This window comes from Homo sapiens, chromosome 9 (genome assembly GCF_000001405.40).
Source record: "Homo sapiens chromosome 9, GRCh38.p14 Primary Assembly".
Classification (NCBI taxonomy): domain Eukaryota; kingdom Metazoa; phylum Chordata; class Mammalia; order Primates; family Hominidae; genus Homo; species Homo sapiens.
Genome location: NC_000009.12, coordinates 33114876 through 33139676, shown reverse-complemented (window position 1 = coordinate 33139676; position 24801 = coordinate 33114876). Strand labels below are relative to the sequence as shown.

Genomic DNA, 24801 nt, shown 5'->3' with positions numbered 1-24801 from the left:
GGAGTCTGAGCTCTCTGGAGTTTCTCACTGGGACAGAGCCAGGTGTGTAGCAGAGCATGGTCCCTGCAGTATGGCAGGAGGTGTGCAGGGCATTCAGGAGGCCTCCTGGCTGGCACTCGACCCAATTAGTCATTCAACGCCAGGTCTGGGGCTGCTGTCTGTTGTCTCAAAGGTGTGAGCTGCAAGATCCTTAGAGTTGTGGAGAAAAAATTGCCAGATTGGCAAGAAGGGCAGGATTGGGGGTCAAGGTGTCTCAGTGTGTTGGAAGCATGATGGGGGTTGTGCAAGGGGCACAGCGAGTTCAGAAGGGAGCAGGAGAGTGAGAAGAGGCTGTTCAGTGATAAAGCTCTGCACAGAGCCATTGGAGGAGCAAGCTCCTTGACCATCCTTAAACCAGGGTAATTTTCATTTAGGTTCTGCCACACGCTCAGCAGGGAACTCCTGGAAGGCAGGATTTGTCTTGTCCATCCTCCCTCCCTACCTCAACCCACTCCTCCTTGGGCTGGCACACAGTAGGTACCCAGAAAGTATCAATTGAAACAAATTGAAAGTGGTCTTGATACATATCACAGGGCAAGTTTGCAGTTAACAGACATTTCAGAGTAAAGACTCTCTGGCTTGGTGCTCGATCGGCTTCTGTGGGTTGTCAGCATGCTGTGGACAGCCCCGGCATGGGAGCGAGTGGGCGTGTGTGTGTGTGTATGTGAGGGTGAGAGAGCGTTAGTGTGTGTGTTGGGGTTGGGGAGAGAGGAGGGGGAATAGAAGATGGACCACCCGGGTATCAGCTTCTGCCCTGGGGAGATGGTGGTGTCAGTTGCTGAGGGAATCCTGAGAAGCAGGTCTGGCTGTAGGTGGTGATGGTGGTGGGGTTGCATGAGAATCCATTTGGGGCAGGTTGAATTTGAGGTGCCCATGACATATGGCTAGCCATGTTCTGTTGGCTGTGAGGTCAGGAGAGAGACATGAGATGGAAACAGAGGTTTGGGAACTGTCATGTGCTTAAACCAAAGACCTGGGTATAGGGAGAGTGAGAAGAGAAGGGGGCAAAGATGGACATCCAAGAAAGAAGCTGAGAAAGCCTAGGAATTTGAGGTAAGAGGAGACGTAGGTAAATGTGACGCTTGGTGATCAAGGCTTCTTTCCACCTCTCCTATGCTGGACACTCACGTCTCCTGTCTGCTTGGAAATTCATGCTGAGGGCAGGGAAGGTGGGAGCAAGGATTTGTCTAAAGATCTTGCTTTGGATCCCTGCACTCCTCCTGGTTTACCAAGTGTCACTGGACACGTCAGGGCGTTCTGAGACCTTAGAGAGCATCCAGTCCTGTCCCTGCAGTTTACAAATGAGGAAACCAGTACCCTGAGAGTGGCTGTACTATCCACTCTCAGGATACCAAAGATCATCTGGAAAGTCACTGGTGGAGCTGGACCGGGGCCCAGGCATCTCTTCTCCTGTCCGGGGCTCTTGACTTCAGGACCACCTTTCTGAAACCCATGATGGGGCAACACCAGGACACTTTCCAGCCTGCAGGTGTCTGTCCCGCGGAAGCGAGCCAGGCCACATGTGAATTCCTGTTTTCTGGGTGGGTTTCAGAAGGTACGAGCAAGTCGGCAGGGTGACAGCCCAGGTGCTTCTTGGGTTCCCCAAAACGCGGTTATGTTTAGCAGCATCCTCAGAACCAAAGGTGGGGTGGGGGCTGCAGATGTTGTGGGGGCCCTCTGAAGTGAAAAGAGCCCTGTGACAGATCTTTTCTTCATGTTTTTCACAAGTTCACTGTGCAGCAGGGCCCCCCCAGTAGCCTTTGCCCAGGGTTGGGTGTTGGGCAGCCCAGGCCTGGCTGACCTTGTGGGGAAGGGTGTGAATGGTGGGAATCCCCGAGGGCCCTCTTTGCCCGAAAGCCCTAAGCCTTGACATCAGATGCCCATCAGATGGTCCATCGGAGCCCTACTACCCAGCTTGCCCAGTGAGAATCATCTGGGCTCCTTGTTAGGTAGCCATTTAGGTCCTTCCCAAAATCCACAGACTCTCTAAGGGAAGGGCCCGAGATGCTGTACTTGTACTAACTTCCTCAAGCAATTCTTGTGATAGGTTTGGGAAAAACTTGTCCAGGGTGACCACTGACTGAGTCCTGGTCTTCTCTGAAGAGCACAGTGCCTGCTCACTTTAGGGCACCCTGGGAGGTGGGAGCTGGCTCAGCAGGCAGTCTTATAAGGGACTGAGCTTCAAGGCCTCTGTCCCTCCAGGAGGGAGGTGCATGACCAGAGAGGGAGGCCTGAGGATCTTCTTCCCTGCCCCAGAGGGTCTGCTGCCTGAGCTCTGTGATAGCGCAGAGAGTAAAAGGATCAAGCTTGATTGAGGCCTATCTCTCAATGCGAAAGTTTGCTAGTTAAGAGGAGAGTGGGAAGGGCATTTCTGGCAAAGAGAAAAGTGTGGACAGGCATGGCTTAAGGGATGGGGAGGGAGACAGACAGAGCTGAGGGTGAAGGGCCTTTTGCTCAGCTGTGGGCCTTGGCCTTCCCTTGTGCAGGGACACACAGCCTTAGAGCCACTGGAGGTTTTAGTGGGAAAGTAATATGGTCGGGGCTGTATCTCAGAAGAAAACAAACTAATGGGAACAGGTCCTGTGATGGTGGACCTGGGTCAGCTACGGAGGGAGGGAAGATGTGAGATGTGTACTGGGGAAGGGGGTGGAAGTGGCAGCTATCTGGTGAGAGGAAGCAGGCCCACAGCTTTTTTTCTCAAGCTGTTGAATTCAGAAGGGCGAGTGATTCCGGGAGTAGGGGGTGCTTGGAGAGCCACGCGTTATTGATAAACAGGGCAGGCTGAAGCCTGCTCACTGGCCCTGGGCGGGTTCTCACCAGCATGTTTCAGGTTTTGATCTGTGCTTGTGGTTGGTGTTCCTACCTGTTCTCTAGGTTCCTTCCTTTGTTCTTGTGGCTCATTTGCTTCACAGGTGAAGCTGGTTACACTAGAGTAACAGTTCCCAAAGTGTGTTCCCTGGAAAAATGGTTCTGTAGCCAAATAAGCTTGGGAAATGGTGGGTTAAATATAACGAAGGGGGTTTTTCGACTGCACAACTTCTCAGAGCCTTTGGTGTGTGTCGTGACTTTGCAGAAGCAGGATTTAATACGCAGCATTCCCGTTCTTATTTGACCACGAGACATGTTTTTCCATTAAGCATCTTGCTGGGTCTGATGTTTTCTGGAACCCATTTTGAGGCGGTCTGGTCTGCAGAGAGTATGGGGAGCCTGGGTTCAAGCCTTGGCTCTTGACTCTCAGCAGAGCCTTGATTCCCTGTGTTGCCTGGACTGCACCACGTGTACCACATACCCGGTATGTGACGTTTTCCTCATCCCTCTTCCCACCTGCCGTTACCTCACAATCCACAATCTGCACCTCATCCATTTTTCTTCTGAGGCAAGCACTCTCTTACTAACTTACTTATCTCATCTGCATCCATGTTCTTCTAGGCCAGAAACTTGGGAGTCATCCCTCCCTCTTTGTTACTTCTTCTTCCTCTTTGTTACTTTATCCCCTCTGTTACTAAACATTCTTCTGTGTTTCCAGCTATTTCTTTTATTTTCCCTCGGTCTCCTTTGGGGTTTCTTTGCCTCCATCTCTCCCAGACCTTGGTTCACCTTCCATCGAGTCCCTTCCTGGGACATGGGCACTCATGCCACTCCTGCTACCTTCCACTTCGAAGCTAACTCCCTCCACACTGACGTCCCCAACATGCATGCATACACACACACACACACACACACACATACACACACACACACACACACTTCCCCAGTTAGGCTAGAATCAGAGAGATGATGTCAGCCATTTGTCCAAGGCCACGCAGCTGGGAGGTCACAGAGCTAAGTCTCAACCTCAGGGGTTTTGAGAAATTGCCTTCTCATCCGTGATCACTGATTTCTACAACAGCCTGTCAGGAAGTCTGGGTAGAAATTACTTCCATTTTACAGTGGAGTCAGAGCGGGGAGGGTCCTGGGCAGGCGAGTGCTTCACAGAGTGACCAACCATCTAGGTTTGCCCCACACTGAAGGGGGTTTCTGGGGATGGTTGGTCACCCTAATGCTGGATGTGGTGCCTGATGCTGGGCAGGAGGGCCCTCTCCGTGGCCACGTTGCCTCCCAGGAGGAGACATTTCCTCTGCAGCTGCAGCTGCAGCCTGGCCATCTGATGCAGCCTGTGGAGCGGTGGCGAGTCCTGTGGCCTGCTAACTTCTCCCTCCCTCCACCTCTCTAGTGGGCCCCATGCTGATTGAGTTTAACATGCCTGTGGACCTGGAGCTCGTGGCAAAGCAGAACCCAAATGTGAAGATGGGCGGCCGCTATGCCCCCAGGGACTGCGTCTCTCCTCACAAGGTGGCCATCATCATTCCATTCCGCAACCGGCAGGAGCACCTCAAGTACTGGCTATATTATTTGCACCCAGTCCTGCAGCGCCAGCAGCTGGACTATGGCATCTATGTTATCAACCAGGTGAGGCCTGGGAAGGTGGAATGAGAGAGGGTGTGTGTGCATGCAGATGTGTATCAGATGTGTGTGTAATGAGGGCAGGGGAAGGGGAGTGATTTCACAGACACCTGGCACTTACAGCGAGGAACCAGCCCCCCAGCCACCACCAGTGCAGATGAGGTAAACGCCAAACAGTGTGCTTGCCTATTGCTGTCAACTCTATAGCCAAGGGAAATGCTGGAGTGTTTTCGTTGTTCTGTTTTTGTTTTCTGGAAGTAGCCTTCCAGCAAGATTGGGAAAAAAGACAACCCTAATTATTCCAAAGTACACACTGATTATTCCCTGGCTTTGTGTAGCTGTGTATTTTCCTTTTAAAAATAAAACCACCATTTAGATGTCAGACTTTTAGGTAACTTCAAAGTTTATCCAGTCAGTCAGAGCGTGTCTCCTGGGGCACCTGGAGACAGTGCCCTTAGTTCAGGTCACATGCCTACATGCCAGCCCCTGGTGAAATATCTGGAGAAGTCTGATTCGTGGGCCATCTGAGAGTTATGTGGACTGGGCCGAGTCTGAGAAAAAGTTTCTCACTGCTCGTCTGATCCATATGTGTTGGGCTTTAGCCCTGCTTAGGAAAGTAATGCTAAGGATAGGTCAACTTTCATCACCATGGCATGGAGAATCAGATTGATCTAAGAGGCATCTTTATTGAAATAAATTTTTCAGTTTATTTGAGGAGCATTATTTTCCCAAGAGTATAACTTTGATATTTCAAGATTACCCCTAACACTTAAATTCATGTTTTTAGACTATAACCTCCTAGGTGCAATGACACATCTAACTTATCTAAGCACCCAGTTTCATTGAAATTCATTTGAAGAGTCTGAGTACGCCCATTTCTACAAGGCCCAATGTCCATTTCATTTCGAGATAAACTCTGCTTTAGGTAGGAGGATTGTTGGCAGTTTACGGCTTCCATCAAGGTCAAGGAACTCTGTGCACCTTCCCTATGACCCCAGGGGAAGCACTCGAGGACTGCTGTGGCATTGTGCTGCATCACTTGCTGCAGGGAGATTCTGAAGAAGTGTAAGGTCTCAGTCCTGCCCTGTCCCGAAGCCTCCAACCCACTTCTGGCAAGTGGGACCTTCCCAGGGAACAATTTGTTAACAGACCCAAATATCCTGTGATTGGATGGTGGCTGCCAAATGCTTTGGAAGCTCAGAGGAAGGAGAGAGAGCAATGGCTTGGAAGAACCAGGATATAAACTAGGTTCTAAAGTCTGCAGGGAGATGGGCTTCTCAGCTGGGGCCAGTGAGCAGGGACCTTAAGGCAGAAAGGAGCCTTGCATGTTCCTGGAAATTGAGATGCCCACTGGGGTAGGAAAGCACCAGAAGCTCTGGGACCAGGTGTCAGAGTTAAGCCTGTGAGGCAGGAGAGAGCAGAACAAGCCCTGTTACAAGGAAACTGAAGCAGGAGAGCAGGTGGTGGGCAAACCCCTTGAGGCTGTTTGAATTCTTCGGCCAAGTGAGGTACAGACCAGGGCCCTATGAACACCTGCAAGCAAGACAGCCACGCAGTTGTGGGTCACCTTGGAAGAATATTGGAGAATGCAAGAGAGAACAGGTAAATGTCCTGCAAAATGCGGGTCACTTTAACCCAACACATATTCATTTAAGAAAAGCTCTGTGATTGAGAAACATTTGTCTGATGCCAGTTAGCACATACCAATGACGGCAAGATTCAGGAGCCTGTTATTAAAGCAGTGGCAGCGAGCACCTGGAAGAGGCGGCCACCATCACCAGGAGCCAGCAGGGATGACTAATAAGCCGTGCCAGCTGCATCTCGTTTCTCTCTTGACAGTTGCTATGCCAGTAGATGAGGGATGTACTGTGGATACAATGCTGTCATATCTTATTCAGCAGGGCATCTGATAGCATCCCACAAATCTGCCTGAGTAGAAGACAGACAGCTGTGGTCTGGGTGCCATATAGGTAGGTTAAAATATATATTTGGGCCTAGGCGCAGTGGCTCATGCCTGTAATCCCAGCACTTTGGGAGGCCAAGGCAGGCGGATCACTTGAAGTCAGGAGTTCAAGACCAGCCTGGCCAACATGGCGAAACCCCGTCTCTACTAAAAATACAAAAATTAGCTGGACATAGTGGTGGGCGGCTGTAATCCCAGCTACTCGGGAGGCTGAGGCAGGAGAATCTCTTGAACCCAGGAGGCAGAGGTTGCAGTGAGCCGAGATCATGCCACTGCACTCCAGCCTGGGCAACAGAGTGAGACTCTGTCTCAAAAAAATAAAATAAATAAATAAATAAATAAAATATATACTTGGGTAAAGAGGATAAAAGAGTTAGCGATGATGCTGAATTTTTGAACTGAGGTGGCTGTTTTCAAGGAAGACTGGAGGGTGGGATGCTACGTCTAGATATGTTGCAGTTTAGGTGAATGTGAGACTTCCCTGTTTTGAAGTCAAATATTGGACCAGTAAAATCTAGCCATCAGCTTAAATTCCTATGATACAATTTACATACTCCCCAGGCTCAACACAGTAGATTTCTGAATGTCCTCTGCCAGCTACATGCTCCTGCCCACCTCAATCCGAGTAGATGGAACAACTAACCAAGCCAGCTCAGACCGGTGGCACAGCTGTGCTGGCTAACACTGGGCACCACCTAAGAGAGTGCTTCTCCAAAAGTGTGCTTCCCCAAATGGAGCGAAATACGCTTGAGGAATGTTGGGTTGAACCATGTAAAGCAGGTCTCATTCCCGCAGAGCCTTTGGTACCCCGGTGTACACTGTAACCCCAGAAGTGTTTCCTGAGCTTGCCTGACGAGACAACTTTTCCAAGAACCGTCTCAAGTGATGAGTGTTTTGTGAGTCACACTTTGGGGAAAGCGGGCCTAAGTTAGCATCTCCTCCCAGCTGCCTCCCTGCTTTCCCTGGAACACTAGGAACTGCCCGTCCTCCCTCCCTCCCTCCTCTTCCCACTTCACAACTTAGCATCAGGAATATTTTAGTTTTGGTTTTTCAAACATATATACCTCCTTTTTTCTTATCTTGTCAATATCATCTTTTTTTTTTCTTTGCTTTTCCTCATACTTTTTTTTCTCTTCATCCTTTCCTTCTCCAAGGGTTAACTTTCCACCTTAGGAGAATCTTTTCTGCTTTTTCTCCCACTTCCCCAGCTACTCTCTTATCATCTGCTCCAATCTCACCCTAATTGATCATTTTGGGAAAATATGGTCAGAGTCCAGATAACTAAGTTGAGAAATGCTTAAACTCTGCCATACCTTTCCAGTAAAGAATATTACCTAATAAATAATAAAATGGTAATGGGAAACCTGAACCCTGAAAAAAAAGAGGTGGAAGGAGAAACATTTGGAGCACATCCTGTCTACAAATTAGGAACTGCCTGTGTTATCTGTTTTATGGTTATATTCTAGAAGAAGAAAGGGATTTTGTAGCACCTGGTTTTGACCTTTCTGCACTGTTTGTTGAGCAAATAAACCTTATGGGCTGTTAGCCCTCTTTATAGCCTCTCAGCTTATCCCTGGCCCAGACACCCTGCTGTCATTTTGACTTTTCATTCCCACACACACATACACATGCACACACATGTACACACACACACATACCATTTAAGATTAGACAGAAGTAATGCTCAAAATGGAGTGGCTTCTGAGACATTTAGTCCAAGGGTTCCCAAACAGGCTTTTCAGTATCAGATTTCTTTCTGCCCCATTGAAATGCTACACAACCTTCCGCTTACAGCAGGTCACAAGGGTTTCATTCTACTTGAAGTAGGGGCCATGTCCCATTTCCACTTCCTTGGCTTCCCATTCAGTCACTGCTAGGATTTGCCTAGACCCCTGAGGCCAGACAATGTAGAAACTTCTGCTCCATGTCACAGGTGAGGAAACAGGCTCAGAGAGGGACAGGCTCCGAAAGTCACATAGACAACAGTAGGGCTGCGGCTCAAACCCCAGCGTCTGACTCCAGGTTTAGTGCCTTCTCAGGGCATCAGTGACACTCCTCATGGCCAGGGTGCCCCCAGTGTTGCTCACAGTCTGGTATCCAGGGCTGAGAGTGTGCTGTGTGCTCAGACTGCCTGGGTTCAGTCCTGGCACTGCCACTTTACAGTCAGTGACCTCAGGCAGGTTACTTAAGCTCTGCAGGCCTCAGTTTCCTCCTTGGTGGGGAGGGTTATGAGGCATCCTTCTCATGGTAAACCTTCAGTAAATACCAGCCGTTACTAGGAGGGTCCACTCCTGCCTCTCCACTCTCCATTCATCCTGCCTGTTTCCTCTGCCTGCTTCCTCTGCCTGCTTCTGTGGTGGTGAATTCTTCATGGCTCCCACCGCCTCCTGCTGCACCCCCACTCAGGGCCCGCATCAGGACCCTTCCTCCTATTGGTTTGAACTCCTTGGAGTCAGAGGGTAATGGATAGTGGAGTGAGCCAGGTGGCAGAATCTCAGAGGCCATCCCGGGCCTATAAGCCTCTTCAAAATAGGGCCACGTATCAAGCTTTACACACAGGAGTGAACTTTCACAAGTTGTTATGACTCATACTCTGTCTATAGTAAGCTGTTAACCACTCCCATTTGGCTTATGCCTCTGTAATTATTGTACTAACTTATATCTTAAAATAAGGATATTGAAGGAATGAGCCGGGAGAGGCTTTCCTGGTTGAGATATAGAAGAACAAGAGTTGCTCTTTTTCCTTAAGGTCTCTCCTCCCACCCCTGACCTTAGCTCACCAGCATGGGAGAATACTATTTGACTCCTTGTACTCTGAGACGTGGATTTCAAGATATAGCATTCCAACTTCAACGGCAGCAAGAAAAGAAGCAACAGAAGGAGAAGACATCATAGCAAACAGGGATGCATGCTGCATTTCCTAATACTCAAACCCGGAAACGAGACTTCACTCAAGGTGAAGGGAGGGCAGGTCACCACCTGGTAGCACTAGCCCTAAATTAAGGAATGCAGAATGTTTGTGGGATTGCCCATCATAAAAATTACAAAATGAGTAAGGAATGCAGGCACAGCTGGCCAGGTGGGTTTGTCACAACCATGGCAGCCCTTTGCCCCACAGCCAGTACACAGAACTGGTCTCTCCAATTCCGATTGCATATCTTCTGGCACCTCTGTTCCTCTCCCTCAGCTGCCCAGGATTTTTCTGGTTCTGACCATGTTACTTCCTCTTTTAAACCTGTTAGCATTTCACGACTGCCTACAGGCAACGGTCTAAATGGTCGGAAGGCCCAAGCTTAGCATCCGAGACCCTGACCTACCTCCAGCCACTTCCTCCTCCTCTCCACTTCACTGGACTCCCCATCTCCACCCAGACACCTCTGTTCTCCCCTCTGTGTGCCTTTGCTTATGCTGTCCCCTGTGTTCCTAGTGTGTCTCTGGCTATCTTTTAAGCTTCCCTCCCCAACCTCATTAGTTCTGTGGAGCCCCTGGAATAGAGCTGACTTCTCCTTCCCTGCTGCTCCCAGGCTGCTCAGAACTTTCTGGAAAGGGATGATTATCTGAGTTCCAGCCTCACCCCAGCCCCCGGACTCTGAGTCCCTCATGTCTGCCTCCCTTCTTTCTCTCTGACCACACAGCTGGTACATAGTCAGTACAGACGCAGTCAGTGAGTGGAGCACGGGGCTTCTCTCCAGGATTCCTGCCCCTTTGTTTATCCCTAGTCTCAGGACTCCCTACTCCTGGTCTTCTGCCTAAATCTGTGCCTCTTGGAAGTGAAGCCTCCGTTCCCAGTGGGGCCAGGTCCTGACCCTTGGGAACTTGCAGGATCCCTCCCTTGGGCCTCTCCCCGAAGCTTCCAGCTCAATGCTGACCAGAGCACAGGCTGCCTGTGACAGTCCTTGGGGTGACCTCCCTTATCAGGAAAAATGCAGAAAACCTATTAATACCTTAGCCTTGTGATTGTTAATGGTCACAAAACTCCTTTAGGGTCCTTTGGACTCAGCACCTTTATGGTCTCACTTTGAATTTTGAACCTCCCACCTCCCCCCATCCCCCAGAGTAAGGCAAATGGTCTTCTGATTGTTCCTGCAGAGGGAAGGCTCCACAGGTAAGCACACGATGGCCAGGAAGCAGAGCTGGAGCCTGCCTGAAAGGCTGTGGAGAAATGGAGGGAGGGCTGCCCTGAGGACTCTGTCTGGCTTTGAAGTTTTCTACTGTTTCCTTTTCTTCTGTGCACTGTTTTAGGATGATGGGGTGATAGTTCCAGGCTGGTTGAGGATGGATTTGGAGACAGTCCTTTGTACCCTCAGTGAGCAAGAGTATCTGTCACCCTACCTCAGCAGTTGTCTCTGTCACTGGTCCAAGCAGCTGGTTCCTACACAAGGTCAAGATCAACTGGGGAGAAGCAGACTCCTGGGTCTATCCCATTAGTGAGGACAGCTGCCTGGGCTTATGGCCTCATTGGTTTGGTTTCTATCTTGATCATCTCTACCATCCCCCCATCCCGGCCTTCCATTTTCTACCTCAGCTGTCAGTGCACAGATTGATGTGTGTGGGAACGGAGCTTGGGAGGAGTGGGGTAGGGCTGGTCCTGTCCTGTAGCCTCCCCTTCCTTCGGGCACTTGGACCCTTTGGAGCTTGCCGGGGTGGGGAATGGGAGTGGGAAGGCCAGGGAGTGTCTCTGCACCATCACTGTTTGAGTGTTGCCCCTTTGCTGTGTGCCCCACCTAGTCTATGTGTGTCTCTGTTCTCTGGGGACTCAATTTGCTGGTGAATTGCTTCCATGGACATTGTTCTGGGAAATGCCATTTTTTCTGCTCACCCATGACTCTGTGACAAGGAATGACAGCTTATTAGGAATTTGTTTTTGCATTGGAACAGTGGTCATCAGAATGGGCCCCTTTTCCCTTGCAGCTTTGACATTTGCCTCTCTTTTCCTCACCTCTCTCCCTTGCATCCACCCTTTTCTCTTTTTCTTCTTTTTTGTTTTCCTTCTAGCAGGGGCCTTTTACCTTTACTTGTTAATCCTGTTTGTAGCAAAGCAAGTGGAAGGAGGAGTTCCTCTCTGATCTGCTTCTTATTCTCCACCTACCTTCTCTTCTGTACTTTCCGCCTCCTAGAGAGAGAGAGAGAGAGAGGAATGCCGACCTAACTACCGCTGCCACTGCTGCTGCCACCACCGCTGCCACCACCACCCTGGTAATGTTCACATGTCCTCAAATCAACCCAGAGCCAGGGCCCTGCTGGTCAGGGGGAGGCTATGTAAATAATCCCATGAGTGTGCCATCCTCAGGCCCTGGGGTCTCCTAGGCAAGACCAGGGCCTCTGTGGGCTCTCTCGGAAATGCTGAGGTTGCTGGAAGCCAGCCCGTCATACAGGGTCTGAGAGTTTAACTTCTTTTAAATTAAACCACAGTTGAGCTCATGCTGTGTGTGTATAAACTTTTGTATCCTGCTTTTTCCTTAAATTCTTTATCATCAGCATCTTCCCATGTTATTTCATAGTCTTCATCATCATCACTTTCCATACCTTCATAGTAGTTGATCGTAGAATTCCATCATAATTAACTTGTCTTTTCTCTCTTAGAAGTCCCTTAGGTAATGTCCAATTTTCCGTGAGTGTAAGTAATACCATAATGAACATCTTGGAGTCTGAAGTTTATTCTGTGTTGGTTTGTTCCACATTTAGGATCATTTTCCCAGGCTAGATTTTCAGATGTGGGATTATGGGTTCAGATATGGTTTACACATTTTTATAGTTCTTAATACAGATGGCCAAATTGCTTTCTGAAAGAGAAGCTTTTCTTAAGTATTTTTCTCCAACTTGTATCTTAAACATCCTGAACATGCTTAGCACCACTGTCTTGATATATCTGCGGAAAGCCACGTCTCCACTTTTCAGTGTGTCGGGCCCTGGGAGAGGCAGGCATCCTGCGCTGGCTCCTTGGAGCTGGGTTTAAAATTGTCTCCTCTGGCTGGGCGTGGTGGCTCACACCTGTAATCCCAGTACTTTGGGAGGCCGAGGTGGGCGGATCACTAGGTCAGGAGATCGAGACCATCCTGGCTAACATGGTGAAACCCCGTCTCTACTAAAAATACAAAAAATTAGCCGGGCGTGGTGGCGGGCACTTGAAAAGTCCCAGCTACTCGGGAGGCTGAGGCAGGAGAATGATATGAACCCGGGAGGCGGAGCTTGCAGTGAGCCGAGATCGCGCCACTGCACTCCAGCCTGGGCGACAGAGTGAGACTCCATTTTAAAAAAACAAACAAACAAAACAAAAAAACAAACAAACAAAAACTGTCTCTTCTGTGCTCACTTCACCCAGAATCCCTGTTGGGCTCTTCAAGGAGCTCAGTTCTCTCTGAAAGCAACTTTATAGCCTCAGTCCAGTCTGTGTTCCTGTGTGGCAGGGGTCAAGGGTATGCTCACTCTTGAGAGTGGTGTCTTTGGTTGACCAAGAACCACTCCCATAGCCTGGTCCCTAACCCTTGAAGGCCCATCTCTCTCACTCACTGGGGTGAAGAGTTTAAATCTCAGATCCAAGTTTTGTTGAGAGCTCTGAGCTACCATATTGCTATGGTTAACAATAGTTAACAATGTTAACAATGGTTAACTATGGTTAACAATAGTTAACAATGTTTAACAACTAGAGCCCAGCTGGGTGTGGTGGCATGTGCTAACAGTCCCAGCTTCTCAAGAGGCTGAGGTGAGAAGATTGCTGGAGTCCAGGAGCTCAAGGCCAGCCTGGGCAACATGGCGAGACCCTGTCTCCCCTGCAAAAAAACAACAACAACAAAAGCAAAACTAGAGCCCAACTGCTGTGAACTCATGGCTGAGTAGATATTATTAGCCCTCCACAAACTCAGCATTTGTATAATCCCAGGCTGTTTCCAGTAATTCTCTGGGGATCATCTCCCAGCCTGTCCACTGTTCCAGGATCCACACTTAGGCCTATAGGAATGCCCCGTCAGAGCTTCTGCTGCCGCTGATCTGTTACTGTTTCATGCAACCCACTCGGCCTAGTTCCTTCCTCTTACTGTCTCAGTGGGCACAGAAAAGCATACAGAGGGTGTTTCAGCAAACATTGCCACTGGCTGCAGACCTGCCCCCGGATCTGTCCTGTTGAGAGCTTAGTGCTGCGTTCTTGCATGGTGGGGAGGGGTGTGGCTCTGTGATGAGCCAGGGCATGTGTATAGGAGCAACAGTGTCTCTCTTATCACGTAGAAGTTCTGACTCATTGCGAGTCTTGGCTTTGGGTTAATGGTTCCAGCCATGTTGCTGCTGTGTCTTTTGGTGCAGGAGAGGCTGGGCACAGTTGGTCCCTAAGCCATTATGGATAAGGGATGTGTCTGCTGATATACACACATGGACCTGACATCCAGGGAAGGCAGGGTGATTGGACAGAACAGTTCTTCCAGAAGCTGTTGGAACTTGGACAAGAGTGGCCCTTGGCTTTCTGTAGTTGGTCATCTGTCCCCTGTTGCAATCAGGGGAAGGCCACACTTGCCTTCCTTAACCACAGTTAGGATTTTCTTGGGGATTAGACCAGATTCTAGCACCTGTCCTGAACCTCTCGCCCCGCCCCTACAAAGGCTGCTTGCAAGTGTAGTGCACATACACAGGGAGCAGGTGGGGCATGGAAGTGGAAGTGGAGCCCCTGCCTTTGGCCCTTGGGGGAGGCACTGTCTGCTTACCCACGGTTGTTGCCTCATAGGAATCATACAACAGCTTCCTAACTGGTCTCCTTGCCTTCAGTTGGATTGGGGCACAAATCCCTCCTTGACATATAAACCATGGTTTAAGGCTCCCTGTGGCCTAAATAAAGATAAAGCTTAAGTATCTTAACAAGCACCTAACCCTTCTCCCCAGCCTCGGTGATTTGGCTCATCGCTGCCTTCATGTTTCATTCTGGCTTCACTCATTCGGAATTTCTTGTAGTTCCTTGGCTGTTCTCTTTTCCTTACCGCCTTTACAAATGCTCTCACCATGCATGCTTTTCTCTGCTCCTACAGATGCCTTCTCTCCCAGCACCGCCTCCAGAGTCTATGTCTGGTCGATTCTGTCTGCTGTCTCCAGTCCCCATCTTGTGGCAGTCTCTGCTCAATCATTTGGGGATTTTATATGTTTTCTGGCCTTTCTTTTGGGGGCCTGTCTTCTCCTTCTAAAAGCAGCCAGTTGACCTAGAAGGAAGGGATAACTGTAACTCTTGTCTACCAACATAAGATTAGGCCCACCCTTTAAAAGCTGCGTCTTTGAAAGGGACACCTGCACCCAGCATGCTGGCTTCTCTTCACCAAGCGTGACTTCCTACGCATTTCACAGGCCTCCAGAGGTCCCCCTGACTCTCTTCTGCTGTGAGAAACTCTAATCATGTAAGCCACAGGCTAATTCCCTTGAGCCTTAAATGTTTTTAGTAATTTCCCATTCATCAGAGAAGCAGGATTTGGGAGGAATTTTGAAGCAAACACTACAGAAGGCAGAGTCTCCAGGTAGGATATCTAAGAGACATTTGGAATGGTCTGACTGTTCAAGATGGATGGGAAAGCCTCTTCCTGTAATGATAGTAGCCAACATTTGTTGTCAGGCAGTGGGGCCCCATTTTTGAGATGGGGTCTCTGTCACCCAGGTTGGAGTGCGGTGGTGCTGTCATGGCTCACTGCAACCTCAGCCTCCCCGGGCTGGGTCTTCTTAATTCTGAAAAACCCAGCTTTTAAAGGGTGGACCTAATCTTATGTTGGTAGACAATGTTGTCTCATTTAATACAATGCACATGCTCTCCCCATAACACAAAAGAGGGAACTGAGGCCTGGAGGTGTGATGTACCCCAAGTCACATAGCTAATAAATAAAGAAGCCAGCATTCCTGGGATTAAAAATGCATGTGTCTGTCACTGTGGTGTATTTGGTGCTTGATCAATGTTTACTTGAGCAAATGGAGGGGCAGAGGTACCGATGAGTGTGCTCAGTGAGGAGGGCAGGAGTGAAGCTGGGCGTCTTCCCGCCTCTTGTGAGTGGTGGGGCTTGGTGAGCTTGCCAGGGCCTGTCTTTCTTATCAAAGAAGGTGTGTGCCCCAGTGTTACAGCATTTCACCCAAAGCAGCCTAGAAAATGCTTGACTTTTCTGTCATTCCGGGGAGGACACTTTCCTCCTCCACTGTTCTGCTGGCCTGGTGTACCCACGGCCCCTGATAGATGATAGCACCTGCTAAAGTGCACCATGCCCTTCCGTCTCACTGCATCCCACAGATGAGGCCAGGCTGGGATGAGGGAGAAAGGGAGGGATATATAGTTCAGGTTATTTTGGAAAACTGCCTGACCAATTTTAAGTCTGGGCCGGACACTGGGGCATCTCACCACGTTGAAAGGGCCGTGGCACCCCGGGCGGTGAAAGGGGCTGGAACCAGGTCTGCTTCTTGGGCTTCTCCTCCAGGGTGCCATTGCTCATGGGCCTTGGCTGCAGAGGTGCTCATTCGTGGTTCCAAAATTCCAATTCCTGGGAGAGGAAAAATGCTTAGTTCAGTCTCAGTTAGGCCTCTGCTTAGATCAAACAGCCAAGGCCAGTAGGCCCAGTCCTATGGTAGAGACATGGCCTCAAAGAGCCCTCTGCTGCAGTTGTTGGGGAGTGTACCAAGAGAAGGGAGCATTGTCCTGGGCTGGGCAGCCCTGGGGGTCTAGTGCATAGATGTAGAAAGGCTCTGTTGGTATACCTCCCTTTGCTTGTTGGAAAGTGCTCAACGGGGCTGAATTGTGTTTGACAGTGTAAGTCTGGGCTGGGGTGAGGGTTGTTACAAGATTGTCAAGATGATTAAATGAAATGCCATTTGAAACACTTATCCATGCCTTGTGTATGGTATCCCCACCAGTGAATATTCACAGTATATTATAATAATTCCAACAACTTCATAATTTTCATATGCAATTTCTAAACTTTGAACTTTTTTTTTTTTTTTTTTTTTTTTGAGACAGTGTCTCGCTCTGTTGCCCAGGCTGGAGTGCAGTGGCGCAATCTTGGCTCACTGCAACCTCCACCTCCCGGCTTCAAGTGATTCTCCTGCCTCAGCCTCCTGAGTAGCTAGGAATCCAGGCGCCCGCCACCACACCCAGCTAATTTTTGTATTTTTAGTAGAGACGGGCTTTCGCCATGTTGGCCAGGCTGGTCTCAAACTCCTGACCTGAGGTGATCCACCGCCTTGGCCTTCCAAAGTGCTAGGATTACATACGTGAGCCACTGTGCCCGGCAATTTTTTGTGTTTTTAGTAGAGATGGGGTTTCACCATGTTGGCCAGGCTGGTCTCGAACTCCTGACCTCAAGTGATCTGCCCGCCTCAGCCTCCCTAATGCTGGGATTACAGGTGTGAGCCACCACGCCCAGCCTAAACTTTGAATTTCTTTGAACCCATGACTTACACAGAATTAGCTGAACGCAGAATTCCAAATCAACTCAGCCTGTGGGACAGCCAAAAAACACAGTGTGCCTTTGGGCTCCTTCACTCACCACGCGGGGTTAGAAAACTTTGTCAGAGGCTTTAAAAAAGGAGCTCTTGTGTGTAAAATGTTTCCTTGATTCTCTTTCTGGTGCCTCTCTTTCTCTAAGTGGTTTGCTTCCCCAAGTTCCCCACCTGAGTCTGGGTGGCTGTGGCACATCTGTGCATTCTGTACGCACACAGGCAGCCTTTTGGAGTGCCAGTTTCCAGGTCTTGGTTTTATTTATTTATTTATTTATTTTTTTGAGATGGGGGTCTCACTCTGCCGCCCAGGCTGGAGTGCAGTGGTGCCGTCATGGCTCACTGCAACCTCAACCTCCCTGGGATCAGTTGAGCCTCCTACCTCAGCCTCCAGAGTACTAGGGACCACCATGCCTGGCAAATTTTTGTAATTTTTTGTAGAGGCAGAGTCTCACCATGTTGCTCAGGCTGGTCTCGAGCTCCTAGACTCAAGTGATCTGCCCACCTTGGCCTCCCAAGTGTTAGGATTACAAGTGTGAGCCACCATGCCCAGCCCAGGTCATCTTTTGAGGGCATGGAGAGAAGACTTTGAGCATCCCACTTTTGAGATTGTGTACCAGTCGCAAGCCCCTATGACACACTTTTTCCCCAAAGTAGAGGGCTCTGACTATGTTGATCCCAAGAGAGATGGGAAAGAGCATTGAATGAGGATTCCAAAGTATTGGGCCTTAGTTCGTTTCCTCATGTTGGTGTTGTGAAGATTCTGGTTAGGATAACAGCATGTGTGCAGGAGGCTTTGTGAACTGCTGAGAGTGAGGCGTGGCAATGTCAGTGCTAGGTTTGTCCTTACTAACCTGGGGCCATGGGAATTGATAAGACCAGATTCCCAACTCTACCCCACAATGTGATCCCTGTGGTGACCCCTCACAGGGCTCTTTGGTCGAGCTTCCCAGAAGGGATCACCATCTGCCATTGTATGTTGAACCCCATTCATTCATTCATTCATTCAGCCAACCAGCAACTATTTGTTGAGCTCTTATTGTGTGAGAAGCAGTCTTCAAGGAACTGGGTGAATAAAAAAAACAAAACATCCTAACCTTCATTGAGCTTACATTCTTACTGAAAGAAAACAAATAAAACATACATGTAATCCTAGCACTTTGGGAGGCCAAGGCAGGCGGATCACTTGAGGTCAGGAATTTGAAACCAGCCTGGCCAACGTGAAACCCATCTCTACTGAAAATTAAAAAAAAAAAAAAAAAAAAGCCGGGCATGGTGGCACATGCCTGTAATCCCAGCTACTCGCGAGGCTAAGGCAGGAGAATCGCTTGAATCCTGGAGGCAGAGGTTGCAGTGAGCCAAGATCATACCATTATACTCCAGCCTCAGTGATGAAGCAAGACTCCATCTCAAAAATAAAAAATAAAAATAAAAATATGCATTCCCTTTGCACCAGCACACTTGGTGCCTGGGGACCTCGTGGTTGGCACCCTGAAGCAGGTGTCCCTCTTCTGTCTTGCACACCTTGCTTCTGTCCTGGTGTGTATGGCATGGCCTTCTGCCCTCCATGGTGAGCACTGTGAGGGCAGAGGTTGAGTTGGGTTTGCTGTATTTCTCAGGTGCCTAGGTTTGTGCTTGACAGGTAGATGGAAGGCACACAATGTGGTCATCAAACCTCAGTCAACCATATAAGGAAGGTAGAAGTGAAAAGTCCCATAGGTACCCAACTAATGTCACCAGTTTCCTGGATACCTTTCCTGGAGTTTATTTATAGTGTGTATAAATAAATGATGTATGTGTTTAAATGCCTTTTTCACCTTTCCTTTTAGAGCTGCCTCTTTTTAACAGTTCCATTCCATTGTATGGATGTACTATGATTTATTGAACCAGTTCCCTACTGATTATTCTGTTTTTTGCAGTCTTTTGTTATGATGAACATTCCACAGTGACAATGTTGTTCATAGTCATTCACACACATGCAAGTCCTTCTGCAGGATATATTTCTAGAGGGGAATTGCTGACTCAGAGGTTTTGGTACTCTGTGTTGATTGTAGAGTGACGGCAGAAAAGTGAGGCCCAAGAGTTTCCTAGTGACCATGTGTAGTGGACAAGTCACCAGTCCCTGTGAGTGTTTGGCCCAAAGGCTTTAAGGCATTTGATATCACTGTTTTTGTTTCTGCACCAGGCGGGAGACACTATATTCAATCGTGCTAAGCTCCTCAATGTTGGCTTTCAAGAAGCCTTGAAGGACTATGACTACACCTGCTTTGTGTTTAGTGACGTGGACCTCATTCCAATGAATGACCATAATGCGTACAGGTGTTTTTCACAGCCACGGCACATTTCCGTTGCAATGGATAAGTTTGGATTCAGGTAAGAGATACTCAGTCAGAATCTGTGGTAAACATGTCTCTCTCATGTGTTGACTAGGAAATGCAGTCCTGGCAGCTCAAGAGTGCCTCTTTAAGCTCTGGAGCAGAATGCCTCCTCTGAGAAATGGGTGCTTTGTATTAGTTGAGATGGAAAGAAGAGACCAGAAATGCCTGTAGTCTCTGCACATCCAGACAAAAACAAATTTTCCCCCCTTTTTTTTTTTTGTTTGTTTTTTGAGACAGGGTCTGGCTCTGTCACCCAGGCTGGAGTGCAGTGCCGTGATCTTGGCTCACCGCAACCTCTGCCTCCCGGGTTCATGCCATCCTGTCACCTCAGCCTCCTGAGTAGCTGGGACTACAAACACTTGCCACCATGCGCAGCTAATTTTTGTATATTTTGTAGAGATGGGGTTTTGCTGTATTGCCCAGTCTGGTCTCGAACTCCTGAGCTCAAGCAATCCATCTGCCTTGGCCTCTCGAAGTGCTGGATTATAGGCATGTGGCACCATGCCTGGCCTAAGAACAGTTTTTAGCATTTGGGAGGGGCTCTCATCTTTAAGCTCCAAATGATACTGTATTTTCTTGCTTTTTTCTTTCTCTTGCCCCACAAGTTTTGGAAAGTAAATTGGAATAGTTTTCCCCCACTGAATTATTTAGCTTGTATACCTCAGCAGATGTTCCTTGGCCTGTTTTGTTTTGTTTTTGAGACAGGGTCTTGCTCTGTCACCCAGGCTGGAGTGCAGTGACACAATCATGGCTCACTGCAGCCTTGACTGCCTGGGCTCAATCCATCCTGCAGCCTCAGCCTCCTGAGTAGTTGGGACTACAGGCATGAGCCAGCATGTCCAGCTAATTTTTTATTTTTAGTGGAGATGAGGTCTGGCTATGTTGCCCAAGCTGGGCTTGAACTCTTGGGCTCAAGTGATCCTCTCACCTCAGCCTTCCAAAGCATTGGGATTACAGGTGTGAACCACTGCTCCCGCCCTTGGCCCTATAAGAAGGAATGTGATTCTGTTTTCCAGCAGGGCACAAACTTCTGCTTAAATACAAAGCCCAAATTTTTCCACCAAAATGCCCCTAGTGAAGTGGCCAGCCCAGATGCCCGACTAGCGTATTATCCAAAGCATATTGTCATTGGTGGAAAATGGCCTTATAGTCCATTGTTTTGTCTTAAAAGTAAATATATAAATAAACTTGTATATTGTTTCCTAATTCCGTGTTTATATTAACATAAAAGTGTTTTAAATTACCTGTCAGTGGCCAGGTGCAGTGGCTCGTGCCTGTAATCGCAGCACTTTGGGAGGCCGAGGCGGGCAGATCACCTGAGGTCAGGAGTTCGAGACCAGCCTGACCAGCATGGTGAAACCCTGTCTCTACTAAAAATACAAAAATTAGCCAGGTGTGGTGGCAGGTGCCTGTAATCCCAGCTACTCGGGAAGCTGAGGCAGGAGAATTGCTTGAACCCGGGAGGCAGAGGTTGCAGTGAGTTGAGATCGCGCCATTGAACTTCAACTTGGGCAACAGAGCAAGACTCTGTCTCAGAGAAAGAAAAAAAAAAACCTATCAGTTGAATAACAAAACCCTTTCCTTCCTTGCTTTAAGTGAATCTGAAGATCCAGGAGCTGTGCTGCAGGTACCCTCTATGTTGGGTACCCCTGGTTTAGGCTGACTAGTACAGTGTGGTTGGCTCATGTAGACAGCAGACCCTTTATTTTAGATACAACTTTTTTTCTTTTTCTTTTATTTTTTTTGAGACAGAGTCTTGCTTGTCACCCAGCCTGGAGTGCAGTGGCGTGATCATGGCTCACTATAGCCTTAAACTCCCTGGCTCAAGTGATCCTCTCACCTCGGCTTTCCTAGTAGCTGGGACCACAGGTGTGGGCCAGCACCCCTGGCTGATTTAAAAAAAAAAAAATTTTTTTTTTTAGAGATGTCTCACTATGTTACCCAGGCTGGTCTTGAACTCCTGGGGGCTCAAGCAATCCTCCTGCTTTGACCTCCCAAAGTGCTGGGATGACAGGCATGAACTACTGCACCTGCTGAGATGCAACAGCTTTCTGTCAGACTCATTTTATTCTCATCATTTCTTCCTGTCCTCCCTTGCTGGGAGCATGAGAGCTGTGATGGGAATATAGGAATGTATGAAGTCCTTCTCCCAGATCAAAAATCCTAACTTCTTGTCTTAAAGGGAGGAAAATTTGAATGTAACCTTACTTTTAGACTCTTCAGAAATCCTTCTATACCCTTCCGTCCCCGCTTTCACCCTTCCTCCCTCTCCGTGTGTGTATCTTCTTCTCTTGAAACACACAGGTTTATACCCTGACCCCTCTTGATTCATCCCTTGAAGCACAGTGGTGAACAAGGAAGGGGCCCGTGATGCCCTAATTCTTTGCCACAGCACCATGTTTGTTTCACAAGGAGCCTGGCAGGTTTGGGCTTGGGGCAGATAGGGGAGAGAAAGCAGCAGAGACAGCAAAACCAAATCATGTCAGCTTGGCATGTACTTCCCTCTGAAATAGCTAAGAATCCATTTCTGTAAAAGCACTGATTATCAGAAAACCTTATTGGCCTGGCCACCTTTGGTTCAAACCCTCACATTAATAATGTGGACAGTAGTATGAGGTGTGCCAAAGGTGGATGACTCAGCACCTAAGTGATGACACCTAATTACGAATAGGTTCATTAAAGCAGACCCCCTGGGGACCTTTGCTTGAGGATCCTTACAGTCAGAATTCCTGAATATATTTGAAAATAATAATTGCATCTTTATTTTCATATGTTCTGTATGGTTTGGCTGACTTCCCCCTCAAAGTCTGAGTTAGAGTTTTCCTTAATTTATGTGATGGGTTTGGTCTTTTTGGATTCCAGAAAGAGCTGGGTGTGGTTTGGAGCTGCACTCAGAGTCACACAAAACCACAGCCTTTAGAGAACCCACAGGAAGGCTTTGGGGCACGTCCTGATTCTTGACATTTCTCATCAGTGCTGACTTTGTATCCCTTAGGAGTTCACAATTCATAACCACTGAAATATTAAAATACAAAAAGTTTTGGAAGGATGAGAGCCCAGATGCTCTACTACTTGAAAATATGTTAAAACATAAGTTCATCATTATACATTTTGCTAAATCAGGATAAAGTCTGAAGTTTCAAAGAAGTTTTATTTTAGCAAATTTTCAGAAACACTGCCTCAACTGTTAGGGCCAGTGTTCTAGTCAGTATGCCTTTGGAAGCATGAAAGCTGGATTGGTCGATAGGATGGGTGTGGAAGGGGGGCTGTGACTGGGTGGGTACAGAGAGGCTCTGAAACAATCTCAGATTCCAGGAGTTCCTGGATAAGGACTTCATGTGCGGGAACAGAGCACAGGAGAAGCAGATTCCTGAGCCACTCAGGAAGAACTGGGCCTAGGCCTGCTCTTGTCACTGACTGGCTTTCTACATAACCACAGAAACAGCACTGTGTTGTAGAAAGAGGAAGATCATACTTTTTGATATCTGTGTCTAATTTAAGGTCATCTGAGCCCTGATAGAAAAGCAAAACAGACAAAACCCTTGTAACTGCTCCCTCCCACCCCACCCACCATCAAAAAAGCTTTAGAGAGGCTGGACATGGTGGCTCTTGCCTGTGATCCCAGCACTTTGGGAGGCTAAGGTGGGTGGATCACCTGAGGTCAGGAGTTCGAGACCAGCCTGACCAATATGGTGAAACCCCATCTGTACTAAAAATACAAAAATTAGCCAGGTGTGGTGGCACACGCCTGTAGTCCCAGCTACTTGGGAGGCTGAGACAGGAGAATTACTTGAAAACCTGGGAGGCGGAGGTTGCAGTGAGCCGAGATCACGCCATTGTACTCCAGCCTGGGCTACAGAGCGAGACTCCTTCAAAAAAAAAAAAAAAAAAAGATCCGGTTTGGTGTCTTACAACTGTAATCCCAGCACTTTGGGAGGCCGAGGCCGGTGGATCACGAGGTTAAGAGATCAAGACCATCCTGACCAACATGGTGAAACCCTGTCTCTACTAAAAATTAGCTGGGCGTGGTGGCAGGCGCCTGTAGTCCCAGCTCCTCAGGAGGCTGAGGCAGAAGAATCGCTTGAACCCGGGAGGCGGAAGTTGCAGTGAGCCTAGATCGCGCCCCTGCACTCCAGCCTGGCAACAGAGCAAGACTACGTCTCAAAAAAAAAATAAATAAAAACTCTAGAGAAGCAAAAAGAATAACTTTAAAAGTGTTTATGTTCTCAGCAAGCTTTATTTTGGGGATGTCAGAACTTAACTAACCACTGCTCCTTCTGTGTGTATGTTTTTCCTCCAGCCTACCTTATGTTCAGTATTTTGGAGGTGTCTCTGCTCTAAGTAAACAACAGTTTCTAACCATCAATGGATTTCCTAATAATTATTGGGGCTGGGGAGGAGAAGATGATGACATTTTTAACAGGTAATGGTCATAACTTAGATATCTTTCTCCTCTGTCAACCTTCACTTCCAGTTTTTTAACCAATGCTTGGTTGTTCCCCAAGGACTGACCCTCAGATGGGATGCACCCCTAGTCAGCCCACATTCTTAGGTGTGGCTTCCTACAGGTCCTGCAGGTGCTAAAAGGGATCTGTAGGAAAATGAGTTTCTGAGATTTTTGTATTGGCCTGGAAAAATGTCAAATGGGAACCAAGTGACGGGGCAAGTTTACTTTGACTTGCTGCATGCCGTTTTGTACTCAAGGAGTAAACCAATGTCCTTTGTAAAAATCCCTCCTTTCATTATGGTCCCCTTTCACTGTGAAACAAGTTTCCTTGAGCAGAATCCTAACTGTCTTCACAGAAGCTTTGTGTTATATTTTTATTTTGGAGTATTTTCACATATACAAAAGAGATACTGTAGTATAATAAACCTTTGAGGACCTATCCAGCCCCAGCAACCATTATGGCCTGGTCAGTTCTGTCCCATCCACATCCTGGGGCTCTTTTTAAGCTGGTAAATCATTATGATGTGGGTTGTCATTTACAGTGGTAAAAAACATCTATCAGTAGCATTTGAAAGAACATTCTGCTCAGTCCTCTGGCTGTAGAGGCTTCAACCCCACCAGCCACCGATGAGCACCTTCTCCCTCCAGGAGCCAGTCTGAGCTCATTACTGAGTTTAATATCAGAATACACCCTGGTGCAGCCTTTCTAAATTGCAGTACCAGTTAACAGAAGGTGTCTGTCAGAGCAACACCCAAGTCATTCAAGTTACCATTGTGTGCAAACTTAACAGAGACCCACGTCTTCAATATAAGCCTTGAAGGAAACTCCAGTTTTAGTATGTAGATGGGGTATCAAGTGTGTGCACATTGAACATCTGCTGCATACAGAGCACTGTGCCAGGCAGGCCCAGGACACTGAAAACCTGGACATAGGGTCCAGACAGAAGCAAGCCTGCTTCCACAGAGGCACTCCTGGGCAGACACTCTGGACTGATATGACAGTGTGCAGGGCCGACAGGATACCACAGGTCTGAATGGTCAGAACAGCTGGGGAGGGAGGGAGCATCCGCAGGCATCTAGTCCCATGCTAA

The 24801-nt window shown here is 48.2% G+C and overlaps 1 protein-coding gene and 1 long non-coding RNA gene across 7 annotated transcripts in view, besides 1 other annotated feature; both read left to right on the top strand.

Annotated features, from left to right (window-relative positions):
- Positions 1-24801, top strand: part of B4GALT1 (beta-1,4-galactosyltransferase 1) — an 81013-nt gene that overhangs the window by 45413 nt on the left and 10799 nt on the right. For 4 of the 6 annotated variants that reach the window (XM_047423231.1, NM_001497.4, NM_001378495.1 and 1 more), the window contains 3 exons: positions 4253-4488; positions 19071-19258; positions 23564-23686. In XM_047423231.1, coding sequence (XP_047279187.1) covers positions 4253-4488; positions 19071-19258; positions 23564-23686 — 547 coding nt within the window. The remainder of the gene's footprint in view (positions 1-4252; positions 4489-19070; positions 19259-23563; positions 23687-24801) is intronic. The other 2 variants (NM_001378496.1, NM_001378497.1) reach the window with 2 other exon arrangements.
- LOC124902141 (uncharacterized) lies at positions 7428-11866 on the top strand. The gene is made up of 2 exons (XR_007061455.1): positions 7428-9401; positions 10688-11866. It is a non-coding gene; the product is annotated as an uncharacterized LOC124902141 (long non-coding RNA).
- Positions 14807-14856: an enhancer, noted in NCBI's record as "active region_28273". NCBI's record gives its function as "activates an Ori minimal core promoter by ATAC-STARR-seq in GM12878 lymphoblastoid cells {active_cell/tissue: GM12878}" and the evidence as "EXISTENCE:reporter gene assay evidence [ECO:0000049][PMID:35858748]".